The sequence below is a fragment of the Homo sapiens genome, chromosome 6, assembly GCF_000001405.40.
Source record: "Homo sapiens chromosome 6, GRCh38.p14 Primary Assembly".
NCBI lineage: Eukaryota > Metazoa > Chordata > Mammalia > Primates > Hominidae > Homo > Homo sapiens.
In genome coordinates, this window is record NC_000006.12 from 39314472 (window position 1) to 39340558 (window position 26087).

Here is a 26087-nt window from a genome sequence, read left to right on the forward strand (position 1 = left end):
GGCCCCACCCAGCCCTGGGATCCAATCCCCGGGACAAAAAGAGGCTCTGAACTGTGGGCATCTGGCCCCGCCTCAAATGTGTGCGGGGTGCCCACCTGCTAGGCCTAGGCCAGGGAGAAGGAGGAAGCTGCTGGGTGACCGCAGGCGCTGAGGGAAGGGGCCCAGAGCCCCCTCACATTTCCTGAAATGAACAATGGGAGGGACTTCTGGAAACCGCACTCAGAGGTAGGAGATAGTAGAGACCAACTTTATTGTCTTGGGGCCCCTGCCTAAGTTCTTGGACTCGGGGGCTATCTCCAAGGACTTGCTGTCTGTCAATCTCAAGACCACCTTGGGTCTCCCACACCTCTGTCCTTTCCTTTGTACCCCAAAAGAGGGACCCCAGCTGATTGCCACTTGTCCATGAGCTTGGGAGGTAAGAGGAGCCTTAACCAAGAGGCTTGTCCACTCCTTGCTTCTGAGAAGGCCCCCGAAATCCCTCTACCTGGAGTGGAGGAAGCGTCTAGGCTGTGTGAAGAGTCCGTGGGTCCTCAGCTTCCCAGTCCTTTCTTGGATATGGGGAAGTCCTGGGGTGTGACTTGGACTCCTCTTGCTGCTGTAGAGCCTCTCCTGGGTCTCCTGCCTGGAGCCGCCTTGGCTCCACAGCCTTGCCTCAGACCTGTGCAGAGGAACCCAGCCACATAGGAGCCCACTTGCTGTTGGATGATGGGAGAGGCAAAGGCCAAAATTTCCAGGCCCCGGGATGGAGTGGTCTAAATCTCTCCTGGTCAGGGATGTTGCAGTCTGGCAGGGGAAAGGCCAGACCTGGAGAATGCATTCCTGAGAGAGGCCAGACGTTCATGGAGCTCACTTTCTGGAAGGATCCTGGGATCTGCTGGCTCTCTGGCTTCCCATGGGGTGTTTGGAAAGGCTCTTGAGAAGGCAGGAGCCCAGAGGGAGTGATGAAGTTAAGGGGGTGGCCTGTGAGGGTCAGGGGAGGCCATGTTCAGGAAAGTGGGTAGGACACCCAAGAGGTCCTAAGCTTTGTTCACAGACAGCCCTGGACTTCTAGGCAAGGGGAGCTGGCGAGCTTTGAGAGGCAGCTCGCCTGCCCCTCGGCTGAGAGCTTCCTGAGGGCAGAGATCCTCTTTTCACTAAGATTGTTCCAAAGTCTCTGCCCAGGTCTCCCCTCTCTTTGATGCTCCCTGCCAGCCATTCCCATGGGCTCTCATCAACCCTGGGGCTATTCCCATCATAGCATTTTGGGCACTGTGTTGGGGCTGCCTCTTTGCTTGCCTAGCAACTAAAGGCACATCAAGGGCAGGCACTTCCACTGCTGTATCCCCAGACCCTGGCACAGACCCTGGCACAGCACCTGGCACATAGTAGGGGCTTGGCAAATGCACTGTGCACATATCAAATGAGGCAAAAGTAAAGTCATCCTTTGTTTGTGTAAGGTCTCCTGGAAGGGGGCATGGGGAGGGCAGTGGAGATCTGGCCACTACCTTTGGGTGGAAGGCTGTGGCAGGGGCTCTGGGACAAGGGTACACCTCCCCATCCACACATGTCTTTAATCCTATCTCACGTCTCCTCTCTGTTACTTTCTTGGATATACCTGTCTCCTTTCTCTCTTGGGAGAGCTCCTGAGACCAGCCCTGGCTGAGAAGTGAGGGGGTTGGGAGAGGAGAAAGCAGGGCTGGAAATCCAGAGAGCAGATAGGGTGGGACTGGGGAGGATGAAAGGGGTTTCTGGGCCCCCCCCGGGGGCCTCATGCAGAGATGGGGATCTTCTGAGGCCTGGGGAGCCCACTGGGGTCAGAGGCTGCCCCATCCTTGACGCCGAGGCCCCTACTGAGCAGCCAGAGCTGGCAGCATCTGTGCAGAAGCAGGGGGCCCAGTGGGAGGATCAGCGCCAGCCACGCCAGGCCCAGGAGGATCCAGATGGCTGCCAGGCTCCGATACACTGAGATATAATGCTTGCTGGGGTCTGTGCCTGCCAGGGAAGGGAATGGCATCAATGCCAGGGGTCTCAGGGCATAGCCACCTCCAGTTTCCATAGGGACCCTCACCAGCCAGGATGCTCTCTCCCTCTTCCTCATAACAAGGAACAGCAGTTGAGGTAGGTCTCTGCAGGGTGGTGATGGGTCCTAGACCAGAAACTTCTGAGAATGTTGCTTAGAATCCACAGTAGTCCCAGAAATCATTGGTTTGGCTCCCTTGAATGACCAAGGGCTATCTTATCCTCAATAGTTGTCCTCAGCTGACATCTCTCCATCCCCCAAATCCCAGTGGGCACCCCCACCCTGAGATAATGTGACTGTTTTGTTCTCACCAACAACATAGTCCCCAAAGCCAATGGTGCTGAGAGTGATGAAAGCAAAGTAGAAGCCCTCGCTGAAGCTCCAGCCCTCCACATGGCTGAAGACCATGGGTGGGAAGATGAGAATGACCAGCGTCCCCAGGGTCAGGAACAGAGCCAGGCCCAGGACTTGCAGTACCTAGGAGGGAGGGAGTTGGCCTCTGAGTCCACTTGAAAGTCTCCAGGATTGTATGAGGTTGGGGGGAGTCTGGGGTAAACATGGGAATGGGACTGGGCCATAGCTAGGACCCTTTCCTGCACTGCAGACCCTCGAGGTGGAGGTTGTATCTATGTGTGCATGACCTTGTCCCACCCAGGGAAAGATTTCGGCAGAGGGATTGCGTTAGTGGGTCAAGAAGCGATTTGGAGACCCCTTTGGACTTGGGGATCACACTTGAACAGGCTCCCTGGGGACTCAGATCTGGAACAGAAAAGTATCATTGAACTGTCTGCGTATTTCTGGCCTTGCAAGTGGCTGGCCAAGGGTGGGCACTGAGGGCATGCTGGGCAGCCTGCAGAGCTTGTTTGCTACTGCACAAAAGGATGTTGGAGTTCTGTGATGACCTTGAAGATGTGCTACAGAGATCCCTCACTTAAAGGAGGACGGTGGGCCAGCTGCCAGCTCCTTCAGGGTGTTCAGCTGCAGAGAACCTCCTGGCCTAGGGGCATACCCTTCCTGGGAAGGCCACACCCAGTGCCTGATTGAGGCAGGTATGAAAACCTGGCTGGTTCCGCCCACTGTGGGACAACTCTGACAGCTCTCACATGCTGTAGAGCTCCTTGGGGCCAAGCCTTTGTAGAGCATGCATAGAGATCCAACTCCCCACTCTGCCCAACCCTGCCTTCACCCTTCCTCTTTCACAGGCATCTACCCCTAACACCATGCATGCCAAACTCCATCTCAGCATCGGCTTCTGGGGAACTCCACTTGCAACAGATCTGTCACAGCAGGCCTGTAAGGGAGTTAGGGGGCATACCTGGGAGCGCCTGGGACGGTCCTCCCATCTTTCAATGGCGGCCAGATGGGCACGCAGCCCTGTGCCCAGGTGGTTGAGGAAGATCACGTTAAGCGGGATGCCCAACAGGGCATAGAAGACACAGAAGACCTGACCTGCCTCTGTGCTGGGTGCCAGGTTCCCATATCCTGCAAGGGAAGGGGGGCGTGTGCAAATATGGAGACTCTAGAACGCCCTCTGCTCCTCTTCCCCAGACTCTAGCTGAGGTTTGTCTGTCACCACCTCTGGGGGTGAGAAGGGGAAGCTCCCCTGTTCCCATGAACTCTGCTGGAATGATTTTTATTTATAGGACTCCTGCTCATCTTTGAAGGCCCATCTCAAATGACTCTGCCTCCATGAAGCCCTCCTGACTGCCGATTTCCTTCTCCCTTCTGGGTGTGGTTCCCCATAGTGTTTTATGTCATTGCTATGTAATTATCGACTTTGTTTTCTATTACTTTTTTTTGTGTATTTATCATGTTCCTCTTTGTTGGACTGGAAGTTCCTTGCAGGCTGAGCCTGGGTCTGATCCAAGTTTGTATCTCTCACCCCCAACTCCATCACTCTGCCTGGAATGTCACCTGAGTTCAAGGAAAGTATGTGGAATTGGACTTAACTGAATGGATGGGGTAGACCTGGATCTGATGGTTTCCTTGGGGTGGGATGGAGTGAGTTTTCTGGCCGAGGGGGTGTAGCAGCTGCTGTCAGTGCCCTGTTCCCTCAGAACACATGAGATACCACCTGAAGCTTTGGTGGACAGTTCCTGTATACAAATCAACCCCCGCTCCCAGTTTCTGCACATCTCTCTCTACCTGAGAGATTCTTCTGGCCAAAGGAGTATGCTTGGTCTATGGGAAGTTTCAAAATGCTGGGGAACTAATATACTCGGGACCAGCTCTCAACCTTTGAGGGCAGGAGTTGGTAGCTAAATGGCCCCTCATTCTTGTCCCTCGCTGGACCGTTCTGAGGAAGGGCTCTATCTAGCCTCTCAGAGGGTCCCAAGGAGAAGTGAGCTCAGTCACCCAAGCCAGTAATCTGCTAATTAATGCAAATTTCATTGCCACCTTCTCCCTACTGTTTCACTTACCCACTCCCTCCCTGGGCTTCCTGAATAATCTCCTAGACAAACCACATCCTTGTCTCAGCATCTGCTTTTGGGGAGCCCAAACTAAGACAGGGGCCTTGGGGAAGCTCTTCTCTACCCCAGCCCTTTACCTATGGTAGTGACGACTGTGCCTGCAAAGAAGAAACTGCTGCCAAAGTCCCAGTTGCTGGGGTTGGTAGAGTTGCCTTTGGGGTTCACACCTTTCACCCAGGCTTCCATGATGACCTGTAGGGGGTGGCATGGCAGGGGAGGAAGAAGGAGCTGATGGTTACTGGGCACCAGTTGTTGCCATGCTTTTGGCAGCATGCTTTTGTGTCATCTCATCTAATGATACTCTTAGATGATATTGTTCCCATTTCATGGAAAAAGGAAATGAAGACTCAGAGTGGCTAAGTGACCTGTGCAAGGTGACTGGACTCCAACTCCAGTGTCTGTTCCACTGTCTGTTCCACTGGCCAGGGCTGACTGAGGTGTGGGCTGCAAGCATGGGCTGGGGCGGGAGATGGGCCTGAGGGGTGAGGTGGAGGATGCTCAGGGAGGGGTCCCGTGGGAGATGCTGCTGGTGGCCAAAAGGATGGCACCCACATCAGCTGTTAGAACAATGGGAGGATTTCAGGTTGGGTATGTCTGGAAGGGATTGCTGGGGAACACAGGGTTTAGGGACCACAGGGAAGCCATGGGCTGCCTGCTATGAAGCTAATGGTGGGAAAGAGAGCCCTGTGTTCCCTAAGTGTCCAGGCGAGTGGGCACCCTTGCTCTTTGCTGCTCTCTAGTGAGCCTCAGCCCTTGCCTATGGGAGAAATTCTAACAGAGGCCAAGACAAAGGTGGCACGTGTGAGTGTGTGTGTGTGTGTGTGTGTGTGTGTGGTGGTTGTTTATATGTGATGTGTTGTATGCACGTGTTGTGCATGGCAACTGTATGTTGCACATGTGTGCATGTTTGTATGTGTGTTGCATGTGTTTTCACAAGACCCGAACCTTTGCCGGCTCAAGCCTACAACACCTCCCTTCGCTGCCCCACTGCTGACAACCTCCAGTCCCTGGGCCCAGCCGCCTTGGAGAATAGGCAGGGCTCTCTCCTCCCCTGCCCCAACCCTCTCCTCTTTAATTGTGGACTGTCTCAGAGCAGCAGCACAGCCTTGCCACCGAAGAGCCCCAAAGGCAGGAGGAAGCCAGGGACACAACAGTTCTGGCTTCCAATTCCTATGGGAACCAGTTCCCGCTGGCTGGGTGGGTGTGCTTAGATCAGGGCTGGGGTGGCCCTGGTGGGCCAAGCCAGTCAGGGCATCTGCGGTCACAGGCTGTCTGCTTCTCCTCACTTTGACGGGAACTGGCCTCTTAAGATGTGGACTTTGGCCTCCCTTTCTTTCCCACATCCACAAAGTGGCCAGGGCCCAACATTCCCGAACATGCTCGTTCTCTGGAGACCCTCACTTCTGGGGGCAGTACTCTAGTCCTGGGCCATCCCCCACTGCCAGCCTGCAGCCCTCATCCTGCTGAGGGTGCTGAGTGCCGGTGGGCGGATGCAGGTGGCCATGGGTTCTGACTTCCCAGTTTTGTGAACCTGGGCAAGCAGTGTTTCGTCACAGAGGCAATGTTTAATACTGCTTTTAATACTAGTTACTCAACTCGCCCTGTGCGTCTGAGAGTTCAACAGGAATGTGTCTTCTTCCAGAATCTCACCCCAGTGTTCTTCTGCCACCCAGCTCAACTGCCCCTGGCAAGGAAGGGTCTCTCCTGAGGCTGAGGACTCTCAGGGAAAGGGATGTCCTGTCTTCCCTGGGGAGGCCCCAGGGGCTAATCAGTGGCAATCCCTTCGGGGCTGCAATCAAGCGGATGGCCTCCTTTCGTCTTGGTTAGCAGAGCGAGTTAGGTTGCAGCTACCAACCCTTCCCACGCCCTCCAGCTTGGCTCTCACCTCCAATGCAGAGCTGAGGGAGGAGATTTCAGCTTCTCCAGGGCCTCTGCCTTACTCCCAGGGTTTTGGGAGGCCCCTGAACTGTTCTCAACCCTGATGTGGTACTATGGTCCCCCAACTTTGACTAACCTTATCCATCAGGGAGAAGAGAGTAAAACCTGAAGCTGGAGGCCTCACTTCCTGGTCTCTCACAGCTACAGAATGTTGTCTGTGACCACCCAGCCCACGCATCATCTTCTAGGCCAGCTGTTCTCAGTCTTCAGGGTCCTCAACATCACCTGGAGAGCCTGTTGACACACAGCCTGCAGGACCCATCCCTAGAGTTCCTGAGTCGGCAGGTGCGGAGTGGGGCTTGACATCTCCAGTTCTAACAGGCTCCCAGGTGATGCTGATTCTGGTCCCGGGACTACACTTTGAGAACTGCTGCTTCAGGTTGCATCCTGCCCCCAGCACTTATGCTAATTTGTGTGGTGAAGACCCGGGGCTCCAGAGCCAGAGGCCTGGGAGTGAATGCTGTCTCTACCAGTAGCTGTGCAGCCTTGGTCAACATATTCTACCTCAGTTCCCATCTACAAAGTGGAGATAGGGATTGTAATAGGTAATTATGAGAAAACACCTGTAACACGCTCAGTGTCAGGTGATGAGTGGATCATGATTGGATTAAGCTGGTCATGACCACCCTGCTTCCCACTGTTTTAGGCACATTGTGAATGCTCAGTAAATGCCAGTTATCAAGGTGATTTGGCACTTGGTCTGTTCCTTTGCAGGGGATGTTGTCACTCGCTCCAGTGCCTATTTCAGATGCATTCACCTCCCTCCACAACACCTGGTTTTGTCTTGTTTCTGGGAAAGAGGAAACCAGAAAGGACCCAGGCAGGGGGTGACCCACTCTGTTACCAAGAGAGAGCCCCATTTGGGTGCAGTGCTGGCAAGCTCAGTCACCTTGGCCATTGCCCACCAAACCCAACTCCAGGTGCAAACAGGCCAGGAAAGGACAGCTTGGTGGTGGCTGCTCCTGGCATTTATCTGTGTCTCCCACCCGCAGCCGTCTGCCCAGGGATATGAGCTGGGAGAGGGCAGAAGGAGCTGCAGCCCTGGAGTTGGGGAAGGGGAAGTATGAAAGTGTGGGAGGAGGAAATTTGGATAGCGTTGATAACGCTGACATATAGTTCCCATTCATCCAGCAAGTGACAGCTTAGAGAGTGCTTTTAATCTGCTGTCAAATGTCTGCAGTACCGATATGGTTATTCTTGTTGCCTTATAGATGAGGCTGTTTGGGTCCAGAGAGGTTAAGTGACCTGTTCAAGGTCACACATCAATCCAGTTGTAGACCTGGGGCCAGAATCCAGGATTAGATCTCACCAGGCTCTCTGTTCCCACCACACTCTTCTTCCAAATGGGGCATCAGCTCCTGGGTGAGGACTGTGGATCTGCCACAGGAACCCCATTCCACCAACCTTCCCAAGCCTCTCCATCCCAATCCCACATCGCTCCCCTTCACCTGCACAAACTGCTCCATGGCCCACTGGTCCAGGCAGGTGTAGTTCTCCAGGAAGCGCAGCTTCTCCAACTGAAACTGGTCCCTGGACTGAGCCTCCGCCTGCCTCTCTAGCAGCTGGAAGATAGTGGCACCGAGCAGCAGGTAGCAGACATAGGCCAGCAGCAGGGGCAGCACCCGGCCACCCCAGCAGCTGCAGAGCCCAGCACTGGGCATGCTGTGGCCAGGACCCTGCCAGGGCCGTGGGGCTGGCTATGGGGGAGAGGTGGGAAACAGGTGAGGAGTAAGCACCTAGGGGCCTGTGCCCAGGCTGCCGCCTGCCCTGCCCTCCTCCTCGGCACAGGTGTCTGGAGGCTGGGGAGACTGTTTGAACAGTGCGGCTCAGCTTGGCTGCACTAAGTGCTATGCTGTGAGTGCAAACAGGCCGGCCACCCCCACCCGGCCTTTGTTTCCATGGACAGCAGCAAGTCAGTGTCAGGGACCCTTCAAAGAGACCTACCAGGTTCTCCTGAGTGCTTCATGTCTCTCTCTCTGTCTCCAAGTTGGATAGATGTTTCTGGGCTAAATCGGATAGGTGTGCTCACTCTGTCCAGGCCCCAGTGGGCTCTCTCGGCCGCCCCCAGCGTCTTCACCCTTGAAGGCTGTAAGACCCCAGCTTAGGAGCTGGGAAGAGGTCAGAATGGGTATGAATAAACCTTCTACTCAGTTGCCTTGGCTACAAAATGGGGCAGGATAATTGAACTGCCTATTGGGGGAACCTCAGGATGAGTAAACTGCGTGACAAATCAGGGCAAAGTAAATAGACAGGTGATTGTCTCACTCAGCCTGATGGTAAGAGTATCAGGGTTGATTCTGCTGATAAGTTGGATTCATTGGTTTTATAACTCTTGCTAATTTGTCTTGCATGAAGCCCTCTAGTGGGTTACCTTCAGAGGATATGTCGGTGAAATATATGTGTGAATTAAAAAGAAACTATAAGTATATCCTGATCCTGGGATGGTAAGAGGGGCTGTCTCTGAGTGGATGGAATTGAGAGTGCTTTCCTTTCTCTTTGCCTGTGTGTGTGTGTGTACACATGCTTGTTTATGTACATGTATAACAGCTTTATACAGATATAATTCACATGCTGTATCGTCCACACATTTAAAGTGTGCAATTCAGTGGGTTTTAGTATATTCACAGGGTCTTCAAGATCCAGCCCTGTTGCAACATGTAACAGTACTTCTTCCTTCTTTCTGGCTGAGTAATATTTCATTGTGTGGCTATAACACATTTGTTTATCCATTTGATTTCTAGTTGATGGACATTTGGGTTGTCCCTGTTTCCTTCTATTAAGAACAAAGCAGCTATGAACCTCTGTGTATGAGTTTTTTTTGTGGACATGTGTTTGCATTACTCACAGGTACATACCTAGGAGTAGAATTTCTGGACTATCTGGCCACTCTGTATTGAACTTTTTGAGGAACTGCCAGGCTATTTTCCAAAGTGGCTGAACCATTTTATATTCTCACTAGCCCAGGGCGAGGATTCCAATATCTCTGCTGTGTTTTCTGCTGTTTCCTTTAATGAGCTGTGGCTGCAGACACTGTGAGTTGCCTGCTGAGTATCCTTTCCCTCCTCCCCAGCTAGCAGAACCCCGGCTTTGTAAGTGTTAACCCCAGGTAATTGAGCATAATTGGTCTAAGTCATAGTGCTAATCTTGCTCCCCTCTGTCTCAGCCCCTGAGAGCAGTGAAGTCACTGAAGACCCATAAGACAGTGGGCAAGAGGGCCAGGCTGAGGAGAAAGCCAAACAAGGCACCACAGTCCCAGCCTCAGCCTGGTTCCTGGGAGCTCTGGCAGGTGAAGTGCACCCCAGTGAGTCCCAGCAGGGGACCTGGGCCTTCATATCCCCACATTAGTCCGTCACTCATGCATTTCTGGCTTTGCGCACGTGCAGGAAAGATGGCTCCAGGAGCTTGTGGAGAGACCCCTGAAGGAGAGCTCCAGGTGCAGGCTAGGCCACTGGGAGAAAAACACATTAAAGCCTGGGGAGGAGACCCCAGGGTCGAAGCGTCCCCTGCACCCACTTTCCCAAGCTCCCTTGCAGCTGGGGCTGGCCACGTGCCCAGGTCCAGCCATGATTGGGCAGAGTTGGCTGAGGAGGTTTGGGCAAAATTGTTGTCTGTTGACCAAGGGTTCAGCTGCAGCTGGCCCCGCATTTCTGCCTCTTTCTGTCTGGACCTGCTGAGCCATCTTGTGTCCCTGAGGGAAAGGTCATGGGCACTGCAAAGACACTGGACCAATTCCTGCACACTCCTCTCTAGATTTCTTTTTATATTGAAAACATAAACCTTGTTTCAGCCACCATTAGGTATTATGTTACTTCCCAATTGTTATTATGAGTTTTTGTTGTTGTTCTTTGTTTGTTTCTTTGTTTTTTTGAGATGGAGTCTCACTCTGTAGCCCAGGCTGGAGTGCAGTGGCATGATCTCAGCTCACTGCAACCTCCACCTCCTGGGTTCAAGCAATTCTCCTGCCTCAGCCTCCTGAGTAGCTGGGACTACAGTTGCGCACCACCATGCGTGGCTAATTTTTTGTATTTTAGTAGAGACAGGGTTTCACCATGTTGCCCAGAGTGGTCTTGAACTCCTGAGCTCAGGCAATCCACTCGCCTCGGCCTCCCAAAGTGCTGGGATTATAGGGGTAAGCCACTGAGCCCGGCCTGAGTTCTTTTTAAAAAACTGTTCAAGGCTTATTTGAGTTGGAAGGGATCAGAACACACTCCAGGTATTTCTGGTAATTAGACTGTGTGCTGTAGGAACTGGGGAGCAGCCAGGGTTCTGGAGCCTCCTAGCTTTCCACCAGCAGCGTGGCCTGACCACTCTCTACTCGCCCCAGGTGCCTCCCATCCGCCGTTTCTCTGCCTTGGGGCTCCACTCCTGGCTGACCTCCTGGCATCTGGTCAGATCCATGCCCATTGCCCTCTGCTGCTTTATCTTGGTATCTCTTGGCTTAAATCCTTTATGGATGGGCTAAATGCCCAAGAGTGCCTTTTCATGGTGGCTACTCTACAGGTGTCTGGTGGGCTGAGGATGGCCCAGCCTTGGATGAAGCGGCCTTCTCAGCTGACCTGCCCCAGCCCAGGGGATGGGGACATCACACATGTAGGCACCACCTGGAAGGCACTTGTCATGGCAGATACGGTGGCCTTTCTGTCCAGGACAAGCAACAATTGTTTTTGTAATAAGGAGGAGAGAACAAAAGAGAGAGTGCGAGAGAGAGAGGGAGAGCGAGAGAGAGAGAGAGACCTTGTAGAAGATAAAAGCAAGAGGGAGACATTATTTTTCAGGTATGTGGGTGATCAAGAGATTGGTAGTAACATAGGGTTCTGCTAAAAACCAAACAACAACAAATCACAGTGAGCGGAGGTGGAGCCCACATTGTGTGGGCTGTTCATTAAGAATGTCCCGACGCAGTGACAAACCTGCAGGCTTTTGTCCACCCTGTGGCTTAGGCACGGCCCTGTCTGGGGGTGGTGTGATGGAGCCCACCTTCTCTGGAATTCTGCTGCTTCTGGAATCCTCTGAGGCCATCTGGGGATCTCTGAAGTGGTTCTGTGCAAGCCCCACTTCACATGGTCCGGGAGCTTTCCCAGACGGCACCTTGTTGGGATGTGGGCTTGTCTTGGAGGGAGAAGGAAGCATCTGGAATCAGTGGGGCAACAGAGTGCTGGCACTCATTTCTGCTACAGATGCACCAGCTCCTGGCTTAAGCAAGAGTTAGAATTAAATCTGAAAGGCAGCGTGAGAGTCAAACCCTATTCGATTGCCCTGGAGAAACTCAATACATGGAGAGCTCTCTCGTGTATCACTTAGAAAGCTCATCCGTGGATGTCTGCAGGGCTTCAGGCAGGACTGAGTAACTCTGTAGCACTGAGTATCTTTGAGCAGTCTGGACACAGTCCACAGGTAATGACGGTTGTTCTAAGGGGGACGGAAACGAAGGAAAAGAGAATGGACTATCTGCATGGGAGAAGGGGATGAACGTAGTGGGCCACAGGGACGTCTGAGATGGGCTGGGGTAGAGGGAGGGATGAATCAGCCATCAAGGTGCCCTCCCTCCCTCAGGTCCTGGGCAGGAAGTGTACCAGGCTCACTGTGGGCAGACACTCCATTCATTTATGAATGATCTGTTGGGAACCTACTGTGCGCTGGGGCTATCTGTTGAGACTCTACCATGTTCTGGGAAAGTCAGCCAGCACAGCTTCCTCCTGCCTTTCCTGGCTCTTTCTCTCCACTGCTGCCTCTCTACTCTCTTCTGGTCACACCCTCACATCTCCCTCTTACATCAGTTTTTCACAAACCACCCAAGCCCAATAAGACTTCACCTGGCTGGGGTTTAGGATAGAGTCTTTCTCAGAAGCATGTTCAGTTTAATGGGGGACTTCTGAAAACCCTAGGGCCACAAAAGCCACAGAAAGGGCAACATAATGGTGGACTTTGGGGGAGATCTCAGCTCAAGAGGCCCACAGACTGTGCTGTAGGAACTGGGGAGCAGCCAGGTTTCTGGAGCCTCCTAGCTTTCCACCAGTAGCCTGGCCTGACCACTCTCTACTCGCCCCAGGTGCTTCCCGTCTGCCGTTTCTCTGCCTTGGGGCTCCACTCCTGGCTGACCTCCTGGCATCTGGTCAGATCCATGCCCGTTGCCCTCTGCTTCTTTATCTTGGTATCTCTTGGCTTAAATCCTTTATGGATGGACTAAGTGCCCAAGAGTGCCTTTTCATGGTGGCTACTCTACAGGTGTCTGGTGGGCTGAGGATGGCCCAGCCTTGGATCAAACAGCCCCCTCAGCTGACCTGCCCCAGCCCAGGGGATGGGGGCATCACACATATAGGTACCACCTGGAAGGCACTCGCCGTGGCAGATACGGTGGCCTTTCTGTCCAGGACAAGCAACAATTGTTTTTGTAATAAGGAGGAGAGAACAAAAGAGAGACTGCGAGAGAGAGAGGGAGAGCGAGAGAGAGAAAGAGAGAGAGAGAGAGAGAGCTTGTAGAAGATAAAAGCTCTCTGCACCAGAGAGGATGTTCCCATCCTGCCTCCCTCGCTTCCTGCCTTAACTCATTCTACACACACTGACTGAGCGCCCTCCATGTTCTGGGACCTGATTCAGCTACTCTTCCTAGTCCACTGTGGTCTTGTGAGGTCAGCGCTTGGTCAAGATTAGGAGAAAAACTGCAGGGCTGCAGAGACCTCTCTGTCCAACATCTCCCTACGTGGGCACTACTCTGCTGTGAGCTCTGGGTGGACACCAGGCATGATTTACAATCCCTTTCAGGGAATTATTGCTGCTAATGGGCAGAGCCAATTTATGCTTCCCAAGGGGGAGGGCAAAATCAATTAATGGAGAGCCTGACATGGCCAGGCCTGATGACAGAGTGTGGCCTGACATCCGGAGGTGATAAGGGACTTTCTGAGGCTGAACTAATAAGGAGATTGGGGAAAAAGAAGAAAAACAACACCCCCTCCCCATCTGCCCAATCGATTTGGTGTACAATGGGCAGAGAATGCAGAGTAAACAGAGCAGCTGGGCACGAGCCTCTTTCCATCTGAACGAGCCTGGAGATAAGGACTGGACAGGCCGCCCATCCCACCATCAACATAGGTATTCGCTATGGAGCCCCTCAATAGACATATCCATATGGGTGAAAAAGGACACTTTCCAAACCAGAACACAGGGGAGAAGATAAGGCCCACCTGCCCCAGGTGTGTGCCTTGTAGTAGAAAGGGCAAGTGGAGACAGAGAGCACTGGTTTTAGATGCCAGCTCCCTAACTGTGCCCCCCAGATAGTTTGCACCACGTGGCTGGAGCGGCAAGCTTTCGATGTGGGAGCCTGGGCTCCCGGAGTCTCCCCCACAGCGTCCTACGTGGAGGCGGCGGTGGCGCGGGTTTGTAGGGGTCTTTGTGTGTCCTCGTGAGTATGATCTCAGAGGTGGGCCAGCTCGTGCTGTGACCAGCAGACAGACCAGGGAAAGCTGAAGGGTGATTCAAGGTAAAGCCTTGAAACAGACAAACAAACACACCTGTTACTAATTTTGCTCAGAAACTGCATCTTTCTTTTTTTTAAGGAGCAGGATTCCTCTTGCACATGAAATCTTTCCCAGAGCCCCAATCTGAAGCCTACTTAAGAGTGGAGCTCTGGTTGAAGTAGGGGCAGAGGGCTCCCATTTCCACCAGCCCAGAGAGTGTGATTTCAAGAGCCCTTACCCGTAATTCTGAAATGGATGCCCTTGTCTAAGTTGGACTTCCCTCAGCGCAGGTCCCAAGACACAATGCGGGTGTGCGTGGTTCATCTGGGACCTGATCCAGGATGCGCAAGCAGGGGAGTGGGGAACAGAAGGCAGTCGATTCAGGGTGTGTTTTCGCACAGGTGACTGTTGCGGGCAACTGGGGCCCCATCCCGCTGGGGACCTCTGGGAGACTGTGCAGAACACACTGTAGAGTTGTTCCACAGAGTGGCAAGGAAGCTGGGGTGTTTATCTACCAACTCTTGTCCCTTGTTAATTGAAGATTGCTCCTGGGGAGGTTAACTCCTGCACTGCCAGCCTGCCCTGCCTGTGGGCTGAGAGCACTCCTGCGGCCAGAGAGTCCCTGTGGGTAGAAAGATGCAGGTGCTTAGGACAGAATGCTACTGGTATAGATGGAGGCTTTCCACAAGTGCTGCATGTGACCTCCAGGCGGGCTGGGGGGATCTGGCAGAGTACTGACACTGTCTGTCACAGGCTCTAGTTCTCCACTCCTTTGTCTGGGTCACTGTGGTTTTGTCATTCCTGCAGGGAAATTGCTCTTCTGTGAACCTTAATGAAGGGGTGGTCAGCTTGTCCTGGCATATTAGGCCGGTGCCCTTGGAAGCATGACAAGAGTGGGAAGACCATACCCTCATCTCTTGATGGCCACTCAAATTGAAAAAAGAAATTGTTTTTATTGATTTATTTATTTTGAGATGGAGTCTCACTCTGTCGCCCAGGCTGGAGTGCAGTGGCGCGATCTCAGCTCACTGCAACCTCTGCCTCCCGGGTTCAAGCAGTTCTCTGCCTTAGCCTCCCAAGTAGCTGGGATTATAGGCAGCCGCCACCATGCCTGGCTAATTTTTGTATTTTAAGTAGAGATGGGGTTTCACCATCTTGTCCAGGCTGGTCTTGAACTCCTGACCTCATGATCCACCCTCCTCAGCCTCCCAAAGTGCTGGGATTACAGGCGTGAGCCACTGTGCCCGGCCATGAAAGATATTGTTAAAAGATCTGCTGGCCATCCCCTGTTAATGAATCTCCCTACATCCCCTCACCTCTTCAGACTATAAGAAAAACCCATAGCTTTGAGAGTCATTGGAGCTGCAGCAGCAGCAAGAAGCCTGGGCTGCTGTGAGCCAGGATGTAGATGAGGGGTGCCGCTGAGACAGGGAGGAGCAGAGCGTCCCCAGGGCCTGGGAGAGATACTGAGCCCAGAAACCAGAGGAGAGACAGGGCCAGCTGCTCTTGGTGTGTGAGGGTCCTGGCAAATATTTTTTTGTGGATGGACCCCTGTGTGTATAAACAATTTGATGAAAAAAACTTAGTACCAAATTCATGAGCCCATGTGAGGTATAATGATTGATTTGTGTAGATTTAGAATAATGACAGAGAAGAGGCACTTAGGCATTTGTTTATTGTCTAATTGGTTCACATGACGATTCTTTGTCCTATGATGTTAAGAGTCCATCAAATCAGCATGTTAGCGCAGGTCTGGTGGCCCAATCCCAGGTAGTGCCATAAAAGAAATGCCACACCAGCCAGCGGGAATGATCTCCTCATCAGGCTGCTTTCCTGGAACCAGGGACTGACTAGGAAGCCCTAAAACAGCTTCATAGGCATAAGTCCTAGAGCACCTTGGGACATCTGGTCAACCCTATGCATGCACTGGAGAACTTCCTGAAAGAAGAAAAGGGAACTGAGACCCACATGAGGCCTGGACTATGTTAGGGGTGGCCTGCATGGATGACGTTGTTGGTCATGGCTGGTCCCAGCACCAGAGGGAGACTTAGAAAGTTTTTAGCAAAGCATGTCAAAGCACAGGTTACCCCCAAAACATGGGGCTGAAGGCATGGGGACTGCTTGCCTCAGTCTAAAGACAGTGATGGAAAAGACAAACCCAGGAGATGTTTCGGAGAAAAGAAAACAACAACATCCCACACCTGGGGCCAGAAGGGGAGGGGTGCTGGCCTGGGGAGGGGCTGCCCTCCTGAGATCAGGAGCTGAGTGAATGGAGAGGGAAGAGTACCAGCTGGCATGCTGCTTGCTCTTTGCTGAGTTCCCTCTCAGTGTGGGTGAAACTGGCTCAGCCCTGCTGGCTGGCACGAGGCCATGGAAAACCCAAATAAAGCAGTTAACTCTGAAAAGGTTGCTGCTTCCTCCTATTCCTTGGGAGATGCATTCAGGGCTACACTCAGAGGCCACTTTTCGCAAGGTGAGGAGGAGCTTGTATTCAAGGAAACACTGCTTTTTCCTCCCACATTTGACACATATGTTTTCAACATCCAACATTCACAGCCAACCTCTCTACACCTGCTCTGCCTCGGAGCCCTGGCAGTCCCTGGACACGTGTTATGGAAGGAACACTGTCTCCCCCACATGCTCACATGGCCCAAATCCCCACAAGTCCCCTTTTTGCCAAGCTCCACGTCCTTTGCCTCTTCCCATCACCCAATACCCAACCTGCCATCATTGTCCTAAGCTTCCCTTCCCTGCTTCTCTCTTTGCACCTTGCCGGGTTCTCACACTCCCACCCACCTTGATAGTGAGTCCAAGCCCATCCTACCCCACCCCCAACTCCTTCTTCTTTTTCTGAGACAGGGTCTTGCTCTGTCATCCAGGCTGGAGTGCAGTGGTGTGATCACAGCTCACTGCAGCCTTAACCTCCTGGGTTCAAGGATCCTCCCACCTCAGCCTCCCGAGTAGCTGAGACTACAGGCGCTTGCTACCATGCCCAGCTAACCCCAACTCCTTCTTAATCAGATTGTCTTGCTTACTTGTTTATTGTCCCTCTCTTTTTTTTTTTTTCAGAGAAGGAGTCTCGCTCTTGTTGCCCAGGTTGGAGTGCAGTGGCACGATCTCAGCTCACTGCAAACTCTGCCTCCAGGGTTCAAGTGATTGTCCTGCCTCAGCCTCCAGAGTAGCTGGGATTACAGGTGCGCACCACCACACCCAGCTAATTTTTGTATTTTTAGTAGCGATGGGGTTTCGCCATGTTGGCCAGGTTGGTCTCAAACTCCTGACCTCGTGATCCGCCAGCCTCAGTCTCCCAAAGTGTTGGGATTACAGGCGTGAGCCACCATGCCTGGCTTGTCCCTCTCCTTCGTTAGAAGGTTCCAAGAATGCTGGCACTTTCTCTGTCTCTGTCACCTCTGACTCCTCAGAACTTAGCACAATGGATGGCACATCCTTGTCAAAACAATGACCAGATGAATGAGACATGCTTATGTTTAAGGAATTACAAGGAGCATTTTTTCTGCCTAGATTTGAAACACACACCCATTGCATTTTAAAAAATGTTTCTGTCTATTTACTCTATCAACTGTGCCATGCCTGGGGCTGTTTCTATTTGTTTTTTCTTTTTTTTTTTTTTGAGACAGAGTTTCACTCTTGTTGCCCAAGCTGGAGTGCAATGGCACAATTTCGGCTCACTGTAACCTCTGCCTCCTGGGCTCAAGCAATTCTCCTGCCTCAGCCTCTGAGTAGCTGGGATTACAGGTACGCAACACCATGCCCGGCTATTTTTTGTATTTTTAGTAGAGACGGGGTTTCCCCATGTTGAACAGGCTGTTCTTGAACTCCTGACCTCAGGTGATCCTCCTGCCTCGGCCTCCCAAAGTGCTGGGATTATAGGAGTGAGCCACCACACCCGGCCTCTATTTCTATTGATGGTTTTTTCTCCTCTCATGGCCCATATTTTCCTGCTTCTTTGCATGCCTGATTATTTTTTAATGGACACCAGACATTGTGGATTCTATATTGTTGGATGCTGGTTTCTTTTTGGTTTGTTTTTCATATTCCTTTAGATATTTTGAAGCTTTGTTTTGGGACTCATTGAAGTTACTTGGAAACTTACTGGAAACAATTTGACTCCTTTGGGGCTGGCTTTTTAAGCTTTGTTAGGTGGGACCAGAGCAATCTATCATCTAGGACTAATTTGGCCCCACTTCTGAGGCAGTACCTTATGTGTCTCTATACAATGACTGTTTTGGGAGGTTTCTCCACTCTGGCTGTTGGAAACATGAACTCTTCCCAACACAGTGTTATCTCAGGAAATTATTCCACCTGCTTCCTCCTGGTGGTTCTTTCCCCTGCCTTGGGTAATTTCTTCACATGCAGATGTTGATCGGTAGTTAGCTGAAGACTCAAGGGTAACCCTCTGAAGATCTCCAGAGCATGCTCTCTCTCTTTCTCTCTCTTTTTTCTCCTCTCTCTCTCCTTCTCTCTCTCTCATCCCTGGGACTCTGCCTTGCAAATTTAAGCCACTTTGTCCTCCCTGGATTCCCAGCTCCATTTCCTCAACTCAGGGAAACCACTGGGCTCTACCTGGTTCCCCCTTCCTGGGCTGCAGCCTGAAAACTCACTGCAGGCAGTAAGTTGGAGCAATCATAGGGCTCCCCTCACTTGTTTCCCTTCTCTTGCGGATCAATCATACCCTATATTGCTTGTTATCCAATGGCTGAAAACCATTGGTTTGTATAGAGGATTTTGTCTCATTTTTAGTCATTTAAAGCAGGAGGGTAAATCAGGTCCTTGTTGCTTCATCATGGCTGTAGGTGGTGGTCCTGCTTTTCCATATACAGGATGCTCTCAGTGCCTTTCCACAGGCTGCATGGAGAGACAATGAACTCTGCACTGAGAAATCCTAGATCCAGTCATATACTGTCTCTGGGTTCCAATTTCTGTGCCAGTCTGCTATTGCTACAATTAATGCTATATAACAAACCACTCTAAACCTCAGTGGTTTATGACAAGCAGCATATATTCTCATGCCAATAGGTCTTTGGGTGAGCCATAGTTCAGCTGATCTGGGCTGGGCTTGCCTGGGAGGCTCTGCTCCAGGCTGTAGACTGGGCTCAGGTCTGCTCTCTGGATGTTCCAGGCTGAAGGGGCAGCAGCTACCCATGGCATGTTCATCCCAAGAGAGATCACTGGAGCAAGAGGCAAGCTCAACCATGAGAGCACAATTCAAGCCTCTGCCTGGATCAGGTTTGCCAACACCACATTAGTCAAAGTGGGCCATGACAAAGCTTTGGATGTGTAATTCTATACTGGTGGTGAAGAATTAAAATGATGTATTCAGTATACCACAATTTCTCTATCTGCTTTCTAAAACTCCTTTTTAGCAAGATCTGGGCAAGCTACATTTTAACTTCCCTCCTCCAACCTCCGTCCACCCTACTTCTTGTCAAGGGATTGGTAGAGCCAGTTGAATTCTAGCAGGGACTGGGCTGGAGTCACTGGCTAGGCTGCTTTCCAGAAAATGTTTTTGAAAATCCCACATTTTGGCCTAGAGTGAACTCAGATACTTCTTGTCATCCGTGGCTCCACTGATCCCAGGTGGATTGCTGGAAAGTCTTTTCAAAACATTGCATCAATTTCTCCCATTTGCAGAGGCCAGTGAACTCTGGGAAGGTGCACTGCTGTCAAGCATGTGTCCATATCAAAGGCTGGGCTTCCATTAGGGGATGTTCGGAGCAAAAGGCCCCTTGGCCAGTTGCTGCACACACTTTGCATATGCTCTGGACACCAGTGGCCCCAGATCCCATGTTGTGTGTTTTTCTGTCTTCATTTCCTTTCCTGTCTTAGTGATTGCCCCAGGAGGCTGGTTCACACCCCGCATGGGGCCATGCCACACATCTCTGTCAGTAAGGCCTTTGGATCCAGGAGATGATGTCTCAGTGGGAGATCTAATGTTGAAAGACTCTGGCAGGGTATGTGGCTCATGCCTGCAATCCCAGCACTTTGGGAGGCCAAGGCGGGAGCATCGCTTAAGGCCAGGAATTTGAGACCATCCTGAGCCACACAGTGAGACCCTGTCTCTACAAAAAATTTAAAACGAGCTAGGTGTGGTGGTGCATGCCTGTAGTTCCAGCTACTTTGGAGGCTGAGGTGAGAGGATCGCTTGAGCCCAGGAGTTGGAGGCTGAGTATGGCTTGAGCCCAGGAGTTGGAGGCTGACTAGTGAGGTATGGTCGCACCACTGCACCCCAGCCTGGCTGACAGAGACCCCCCCCATCTCAAAAAATAAATAAAAGAAAGTAAAAATAAAAGAAAATAAAAGTTAGTAGACTCTACCCAGCTCTAGAGGGCTGAGGGCACTAAGGCATGCCAAGAATACTGCTGCTGCTACATAGGGGACTGGGGCAAATGCCATGCCATCTTCAGGGCTCTTGAGAGTGTGTGTGTGTATGTGTGTGTGTGTGTGCAGTTACATGTGTGTTCCATGGACTCTTGGGGAGGCTTCTAGAATCAGAATTTGGTCTTCCTCTGGTTCTACAGACTTTACAGAGGGCTTACTATGTTCCATTGAACTGTGAGGGCCAGGAGTGGACCAGAGATGCTGGCCCCTGTCCCGATGGGATTCAGTCAGAGCCTGGGGGAAGTCAGAGTGACACCAGCCTGAGAAACACATCTGGGTTCTGGCTCGTCTACTCATGAACTGAAGGACCGTTTACTGAACAGCGACTCTGTGCTTGGGACACAGCAATGAGCAAGACAAACAGGTCCCTGTTGCATTGGAGCTCTTAGTATTATGGGGGGTTGCAGGTATTTCAAAAATAGGCAAGTTCGGAAGGATAACATGTCAGATAGTGATGCAGAAAAAATGGTAATGGGATAGGGGATAACTAGGGGGTGACTCGAGATGGAGTGGTCAGGGGAAGCCCCCTGAAGAGGGGACATTTGTCAGTGGCATAGAACAGCAAGCTGAATCTCCCCTTCACTCTGGCCTTCTAATTATATAAAATAGGGGTGTGGATTAGAGGAGCTCGATGGGCCTGCCTAGCTTAGAAATGTAATGGTTTAATCTTCTCCTGCATGATCCTGTTACCCAGTCCTAAAAAACGAAAAAGAAAATCAAGCCAATTATACTATATTACCACTCTGCTCCCCTCCAGGGTCATCAGGTCCTGTATTTATAGGACAGAGACACCAGGAGCAGTGGACCAGCACTTTTATCCAGTTAGCTTCATTTCCAGGTGCCACTCCTGCTCACCCTCCGCTGCCCCTCCCTGGCTGCAGCTGGGTTGGAACCCCCTGGCCCAGGGGGCAGTTCTTCAAGAACCTCCTTGAGGGCTGCCCACCTTCCCTTGGATCTGTCATGGAGAGGGCCCATGGAGACAAGACCCCCAGGCAGCTATGTTTTTCCCTGTGGAAGTGGGGAGTGTCAGCCCAAATCCTCCCAAGTGGCTGGGTGAAGGTTGTGAGGCCCAAGGTACCCACACTGCCCTCTCTCAAGCTCTCAGCAGAGCCCCTGGGAGCTGCCCACTGTTCTCTGGGTGCTATGATGTCCTTAGACCCTGCAGGGCAGATGGCTCCCTGGAGACACAGCTGTTCAGGCACTGCCTCCAGGTCATCCTGGCCAAGAGGCTGATGGTGAAAGATGTGGTCTGGGAGATCAGGATTGGCCTTCAGGATGCCCTGCATTCCACTGCCTTGCCTGTGGCTGGGACATCCTGCCTGGACCTGTCATGGCCATTTCTGGGCTTCCAAACCAGAGCACGGGCCAAGGGAGAGAGCTGGCAAATCGTTAAAAATAAAAATATTCCCCCCACATTCCACTGGTGTGAGCATCCTCTGACATTATATTTTGATGGTGCTATTTCACATTCTCAAAAGCTTATAAAGATCTACACAAAACGTCACTACAACAGTGAGCTGAAGCCTTCACCCTGCCCCTAGCACTCTGGCCTTGCCTGGCCCTGCCAGCAGCTCCAGCAACCACAGGAAGGATGTTGTGGTCAGCCCCAGCCCCAGCCTCTCGGTGGCCTCCAGGTCAGCATCCTTAAAGAAACACAGTCCCCTCCATGGGAATCAAAGTCACTAGTTGCTCCCAGCAGCCCATAGTTCACTTCTGAAGCCAGAGCAAGTGAGGGGCGCTGCCTTCATCTGTGCTTCATTCTTGCTGGCATAATTCATGGATGGATATTTCCTGGAAATTCAATTGCTTCCCAAACCTGAAAGGGAGACAGGATGCTTTTGGTTAGGCTGTGCATGCAGACACTGACTTTTCCCAGGATTGAATCGGGGGGAGGGGAGGCCACCAGCCACTCCCCCTGGGTCTTGGGCACTGCATCTGTGTCTTGCCTCCCAGGAGCTGCATTTATACCCCAAGCTCTGAAGGAAGAGGCCCCCTTTGCCCTTTGCAGAAGCTCCATCTCCCTAGGCTGAGACTGACGCCTGTTTTCCTACCCCACCGTTTTCTTTCCTTTTCTTTCTTTCTTTTTTTTGATGGAGTCTCGCTCTGTCACCGAGGCTGGAGTCTTGTCTTTTCCTTCCTTCCTTTCTTCTGTCCTTCCTTCCCTTCCTTCCCTTTCTTCCCTTTCTTCCCTTTCTCTTCTTTCTTTCTTTTTCTTTCTCTTTCTTCTCTTTCATTCTTTCTCTCTTTCTCTCCCCTTCTTTCCTTCCTTTCTTCCCTCCCTCCCTCCCTTCCTTCCTTTCTTTTCCTTCCTTCCTTTTTCTTTCTTTCTTTCTTTCTCTTTCCTTTCTTTCCTTCTTTCCTTTCTTTCTTCTTTCTTCTCTTTCTTTCTTTCTTTCCTCCTTCCTTCCTTCCTTTCTCTTTCTTTTCTTTCTTTCCTTCCTTCTTTCTTTCTTTCTTTCTTTCTTTCTTTCTTTCTTTCTTTCTTTCTTTCTTTCTTTCTTTCTTTTTCTTTCTTTTCTTTCCCTCCCTCCCTCCAGCCTCCCCTCCCTTCCCCTCTTCCTTCCTTCCTTCCTTCTTTCTTTTTCTTTCTTTTCTTTCTGGACGGAGTCTTGCTCTGTTACCCAGGCTGGAGTGCAGTGGCACAATCTCGGCTCACTGCAACCTCTGCCTCCGGGGTTCAAGTGATTCTCCTGCCTCAGCCTCCCAAGTATCTGGAATTACAGGCACCCACCACCACGTCTGGCTAATTTTTGTATTTTTACTAGAGATGGGGTTTCACCATGTTGTCCAGGCTGGTCTCAAATTCCTGAGCTTAAGTGATCCTTCACCTCAGCCTCCCAAAGTGCTGGGATTACAGGTGTGAGCTACCACACCTGGACAACCCCATGGTTTTCATTGATGCTCCTACCTAATCCTCAGATTCTCTCCTTGCTTTTTCCTCCAGATATTAATTATATTCCAGGATGGCTCCTCCTGACCATGTGGCCCCTATCCTGTCATCTCCCATGGCTGGGCATGGAGAGGGTTCTCTGGATTGAGAACCAGGGCCCTTGCGTTCTAGCCAGGACAGTCCCCAACCCACGGTGTGACTTTGGGCAAGTCATGTCAGTTCTCTGGGCCTAACATTTCTCTTTGCTGGAGCAGATGAGATACCTGGAAAAAGCAAGGTGGCTTCTTGCTTCACAAAATGTGGTCCATGGACCAGCAGTGCTGGCATTTCCAGGGAGCTTGTTAAGAAAGGCAGAGTCTAAGACATGGTCCACCCTGGACTTACTGGATCAGAATCTACAGTTTGACAAAACCTGTCGATTCATTAGCACATTAAAATGTGAGAACTGGTAAGAGTGATATGCAGTTATTTTGCTTAAAGTTTGGCTAATTTAGTAAGAGCAAGAGAGAATTTCTGAGATTCTTGGATGAAGTAATAAATACAATGTTTAAAAAAATTTCAGTGGACAGAGAGCCTGAGGGGTGAGGCTGCTCAGGGAACAGGTGAGCAGGCAGCTGCAGCCCTCCAGGTTCGGCCACAGGAACCTGGTACTGGGTGACGAGTGTTAGCTTGGTTGGCTTGATATTGCTGTGGAAGAAAGGGTAATTCTTGGTGATACATTGAATGGCCAGCTAGTGCGGAGGAAGAGATTGGAAATAATTCACGGCTGTGAGCCCTTGGTCTTTCAGTTCTAATTCTGTGTGCAAGACCTCTGGCAGGCCTTGCTGTTTAATTAAACAAATATGGTCCTTATTTTTAAGACATTCTGATCTGTCTGAATTGAATTCTAGAACGGGAAGTAAGAAGACAAGTACACCGAGCCTATGATGGTCATGTGTTCCTGTCACTCTGGACTTGTGGTTCCCAGCTCTGCTACACAACGGAAATCTCTGGAGAATCTCTAGACATCCTGGTGCCCAGACCACAGCCCAGAACCATTCAGTCAGGATCACTGGGGTGGGTCCAGGTGATTCTGAGGCATGGCCATGGCTGAAACTCACTGCTTTTGTCTCTCTAGTACAAGGACTGGCAGGGCAAGAGCTGGGGGCCCGTGGGCACGTGGCTGCTGATGAGATCTGGGCTCTGATGTTTCTGCTGCACTGTTGAAATGCAGCCTGGGCCAGGATTGTGAACGCTGCCGGTGGTAGGGAGCATGGAGTCTGAGCCATCTCCCACCCAGGATGGTCTCTGAGCCCCTCACACACTTGCATGCAGTAATGACAGGGGGTGGGTGGGGTGGGGCCTGGGAAGAAATGCTACAGAATAGGGGGGAGAGCACGCTCTGCCCCAAGACATAGCTCCTTACATGCACAGACCTCAACACAAAAGGCACCATTTCAAACTCATTCACTTTATGGGCCCCAGTTAAGTGATGAAGCTCTGTCTGTATTGGGGTTTTGATTACCGTGGGCTCCCAGAAAGGAGGGCACACTACAGATGTACCATTAAGAAAAAGCAAAATCACACCTCATGGTGTTGGGCCAGCTCTCACCACAGAGGCCACTTCCCTGTTAATAATTCCTTGGTGCTTGGGAGTTGATAAGGGACTTTAATGGAGATTATCTGGGAAAGGATCAGAGCCTGGGCAAGGGTGGAATCTGTACATGACAGACAGTGAGAGGGAGGCTTGGGGAGGTGACCTGCCCAGTGTCACGCAGAGCAGAGATGGCCTTGGAATTTCCGCCTTTTCCCTCCCAGCTCGGGGCTCTTTCTCTTTCCCTGGGAGGGTTTCTGAACACAGAAGAGAGCTGGAGGGTTTCTCTGAGTGGGGCTGGAGGGCTGGGAGAGGCAGGACCTCTTCCTAACACCTCTTGGAGAAGACAGACTTGTGGTTATGGGGGTCGCACCATGGTTCCTTTCCAGATGGGAATACTTCCAAACTCAGGGATTAAGCAAGATTAAAAACAAAAAGGCCCTCTAGAAAGGGGTTAACCTCATTTCCTCAGACATAAAAACTGTCCTTGGCAGTTGGAAACAGCAGAGTTGACTCCACGGATGACTGATGCCCCTTACGGGTGTTATATACCTGTCCACGCCTGCCCCTGGCAGGGATTTAAACATTCCATGCTGTTCCATGAATCCTAAATCAAATAGATTCATCCTGGCCCTTGGTGAAGCCTAAGAGCTGGCGAGGCTTATGTTAAATTGCCCTCTCTGGGCTCCTGCTCCTGAGCTGACAGTCACAAATTCCCCTTAATGAGCACTCCTGAAGTAACCAAGGCAGCGCTGTGAGCTAAATTAAGATTCGAGAGCCCAGGCAGGGAGAGGGAGGTGTTTGCTTTGGCTGAGAAGGTGCCTGGGCCCCGGCCTGTGTGTTTGCCTGGGTGCCCTGATAAGTGGGCTGCATATTAAGTGCCACATGGTGGGACCAGAACCATCTGCTGTATGTCTGAGAGGTCACGCCTGCTGGCCCTTTGGGACCTGGTGGCAGAGGGACCCCGTGTCAACCTGTCTTTGGCTTCCTTTGTGGCCCCGTGGTCACTGAAAAGCCAGAATGAATATTCTTCCTTTCGGAATAAAAATTGAGCTGTGGAAGTTTTGTTTGCTTTGATGAATTACTTCCAGGCTGCTGTTTATTTGGAGAGCAAAGCTCCCCAGCTGCAGGGTGGGTAGAGGCTGCGGTCACTCCCCTCGTCAATGCTGGTTCCTGTTCCTGAGGCCGAGAGAACTCCTGACAGCAGAGTGGGCATATCTTGGTAGTTGCAGCTTTTCAAGACAGTGTGGCCCAGTGGGGAGAGAGCAGAAAACCTGGGTTATGCTGGCTCTGCCATTTATCAGCTGTGTAACCTTGGGCAAGTGATACAACCTCTGTGTGCCTCAGTTTCCTTTCCTCACCT

The 26087-nt window shown here is 51.5% G+C and overlaps 2 protein-coding genes and 1 long non-coding RNA gene across 11 annotated transcripts in view, besides 3 other annotated features; 1 reads left to right on the forward strand and 2 right to left on the reverse strand.

The window, feature by feature from the left end:
• The window catches only part of LOC105375047 (uncharacterized), a 28746-nt gene that overhangs the window by 516 nt on the left and 2143 nt on the right, over nucleotides 1-26087 (forward strand). The window contains exon 2 of the long non-coding RNA XR_926774.3: nucleotides 24042-24207. This is a non-coding gene — a long non-coding RNA (uncharacterized LOC105375047). The remainder of the gene's footprint in view (nucleotides 1-24041; nucleotides 24208-26087) is intronic.
• KCNK16 (potassium two pore domain channel subfamily K member 16) lies at nucleotides 99-8497 on the reverse strand. Of its 6 annotated transcripts, none has more exons than XM_017011346.2 (6): nucleotides 7857-8231; nucleotides 4548-4662; nucleotides 3315-3481; nucleotides 2311-2476; nucleotides 485-658; nucleotides 99-181 (listed from the first exon to the last, which is right to left on the reverse strand). In XM_017011346.2, the coding sequence occupies exons 1-5, from the start codon at nucleotides 8067-8069 to the stop codon at nucleotides 531-533; spliced, it is 789 nt and encodes a 262-aa protein (XP_016866835.1). In that variant the 5' UTR covers nucleotides 8070-8231; the 3' UTR covers nucleotides 99-181; nucleotides 485-530. The 6 variants fall into 6 exon arrangements, with proteins under 6 accessions (XP_016866835.1, NP_001350713.1, NP_115491.1 ...); NM_001363784.1 differs by lacking the exon at nucleotides 99-181 and adding an exon at nucleotides 8353-8497 and having other exon boundaries at nucleotides 227-658; nucleotides 7857-7970; NM_032115.4 differs by lacking the exon at nucleotides 99-181 and adding an exon at nucleotides 1831-1971 and having other exon boundaries at nucleotides 227-658.
• Nucleotides 15519-26087, reverse strand: part of KIF6 (kinesin family member 6) — a 395419-nt gene continuing 384850 nt past the window's right edge. For all 4 annotated transcript variants that reach the window (NM_001289020.3, NM_145027.6, NM_001289021.3 and 1 more), the window contains one exon: nucleotides 15519-22077. In NM_001289020.3, the coding sequence (NP_001275949.1) occupies nucleotides 22061-22077 (17 nt within the window). In that variant the 3' untranslated portion in view covers nucleotides 15519-22060. The remainder of the gene's footprint in view (nucleotides 22078-26087) is intronic.
• Nucleotides 15692-15771: an enhancer, noted in NCBI's record as "active region_24490". NCBI's record gives its function as "activates an Ori minimal core promoter by ATAC-STARR-seq in GM12878 lymphoblastoid cells {active_cell/tissue: GM12878}" and the evidence as "EXISTENCE:reporter gene assay evidence [ECO:0000049][PMID:35858748]".
• Nucleotides 21692-21771: an enhancer, noted in NCBI's record as "active region_24491". NCBI's record gives its function as "activates an Ori minimal core promoter by ATAC-STARR-seq in GM12878 lymphoblastoid cells {active_cell/tissue: GM12878}" and the evidence as "EXISTENCE:reporter gene assay evidence [ECO:0000049][PMID:35858748]".
• Nucleotides 25048-25549: an enhancer, noted in NCBI's record as "H3K4me1 hESC enhancer chr6:39307295-39307796 (GRCh37/hg19 assembly coordinates)". NCBI's record gives its function as "activates a minimal SCP1, AML or CMV promoter by ChIP-STARR-seq in primed H9 embryonic stem cells {active_cell/tissue: H9 hESC(primed)}" and the evidence as "EXISTENCE:reporter gene assay evidence [ECO:0000049][PMID:30033119]".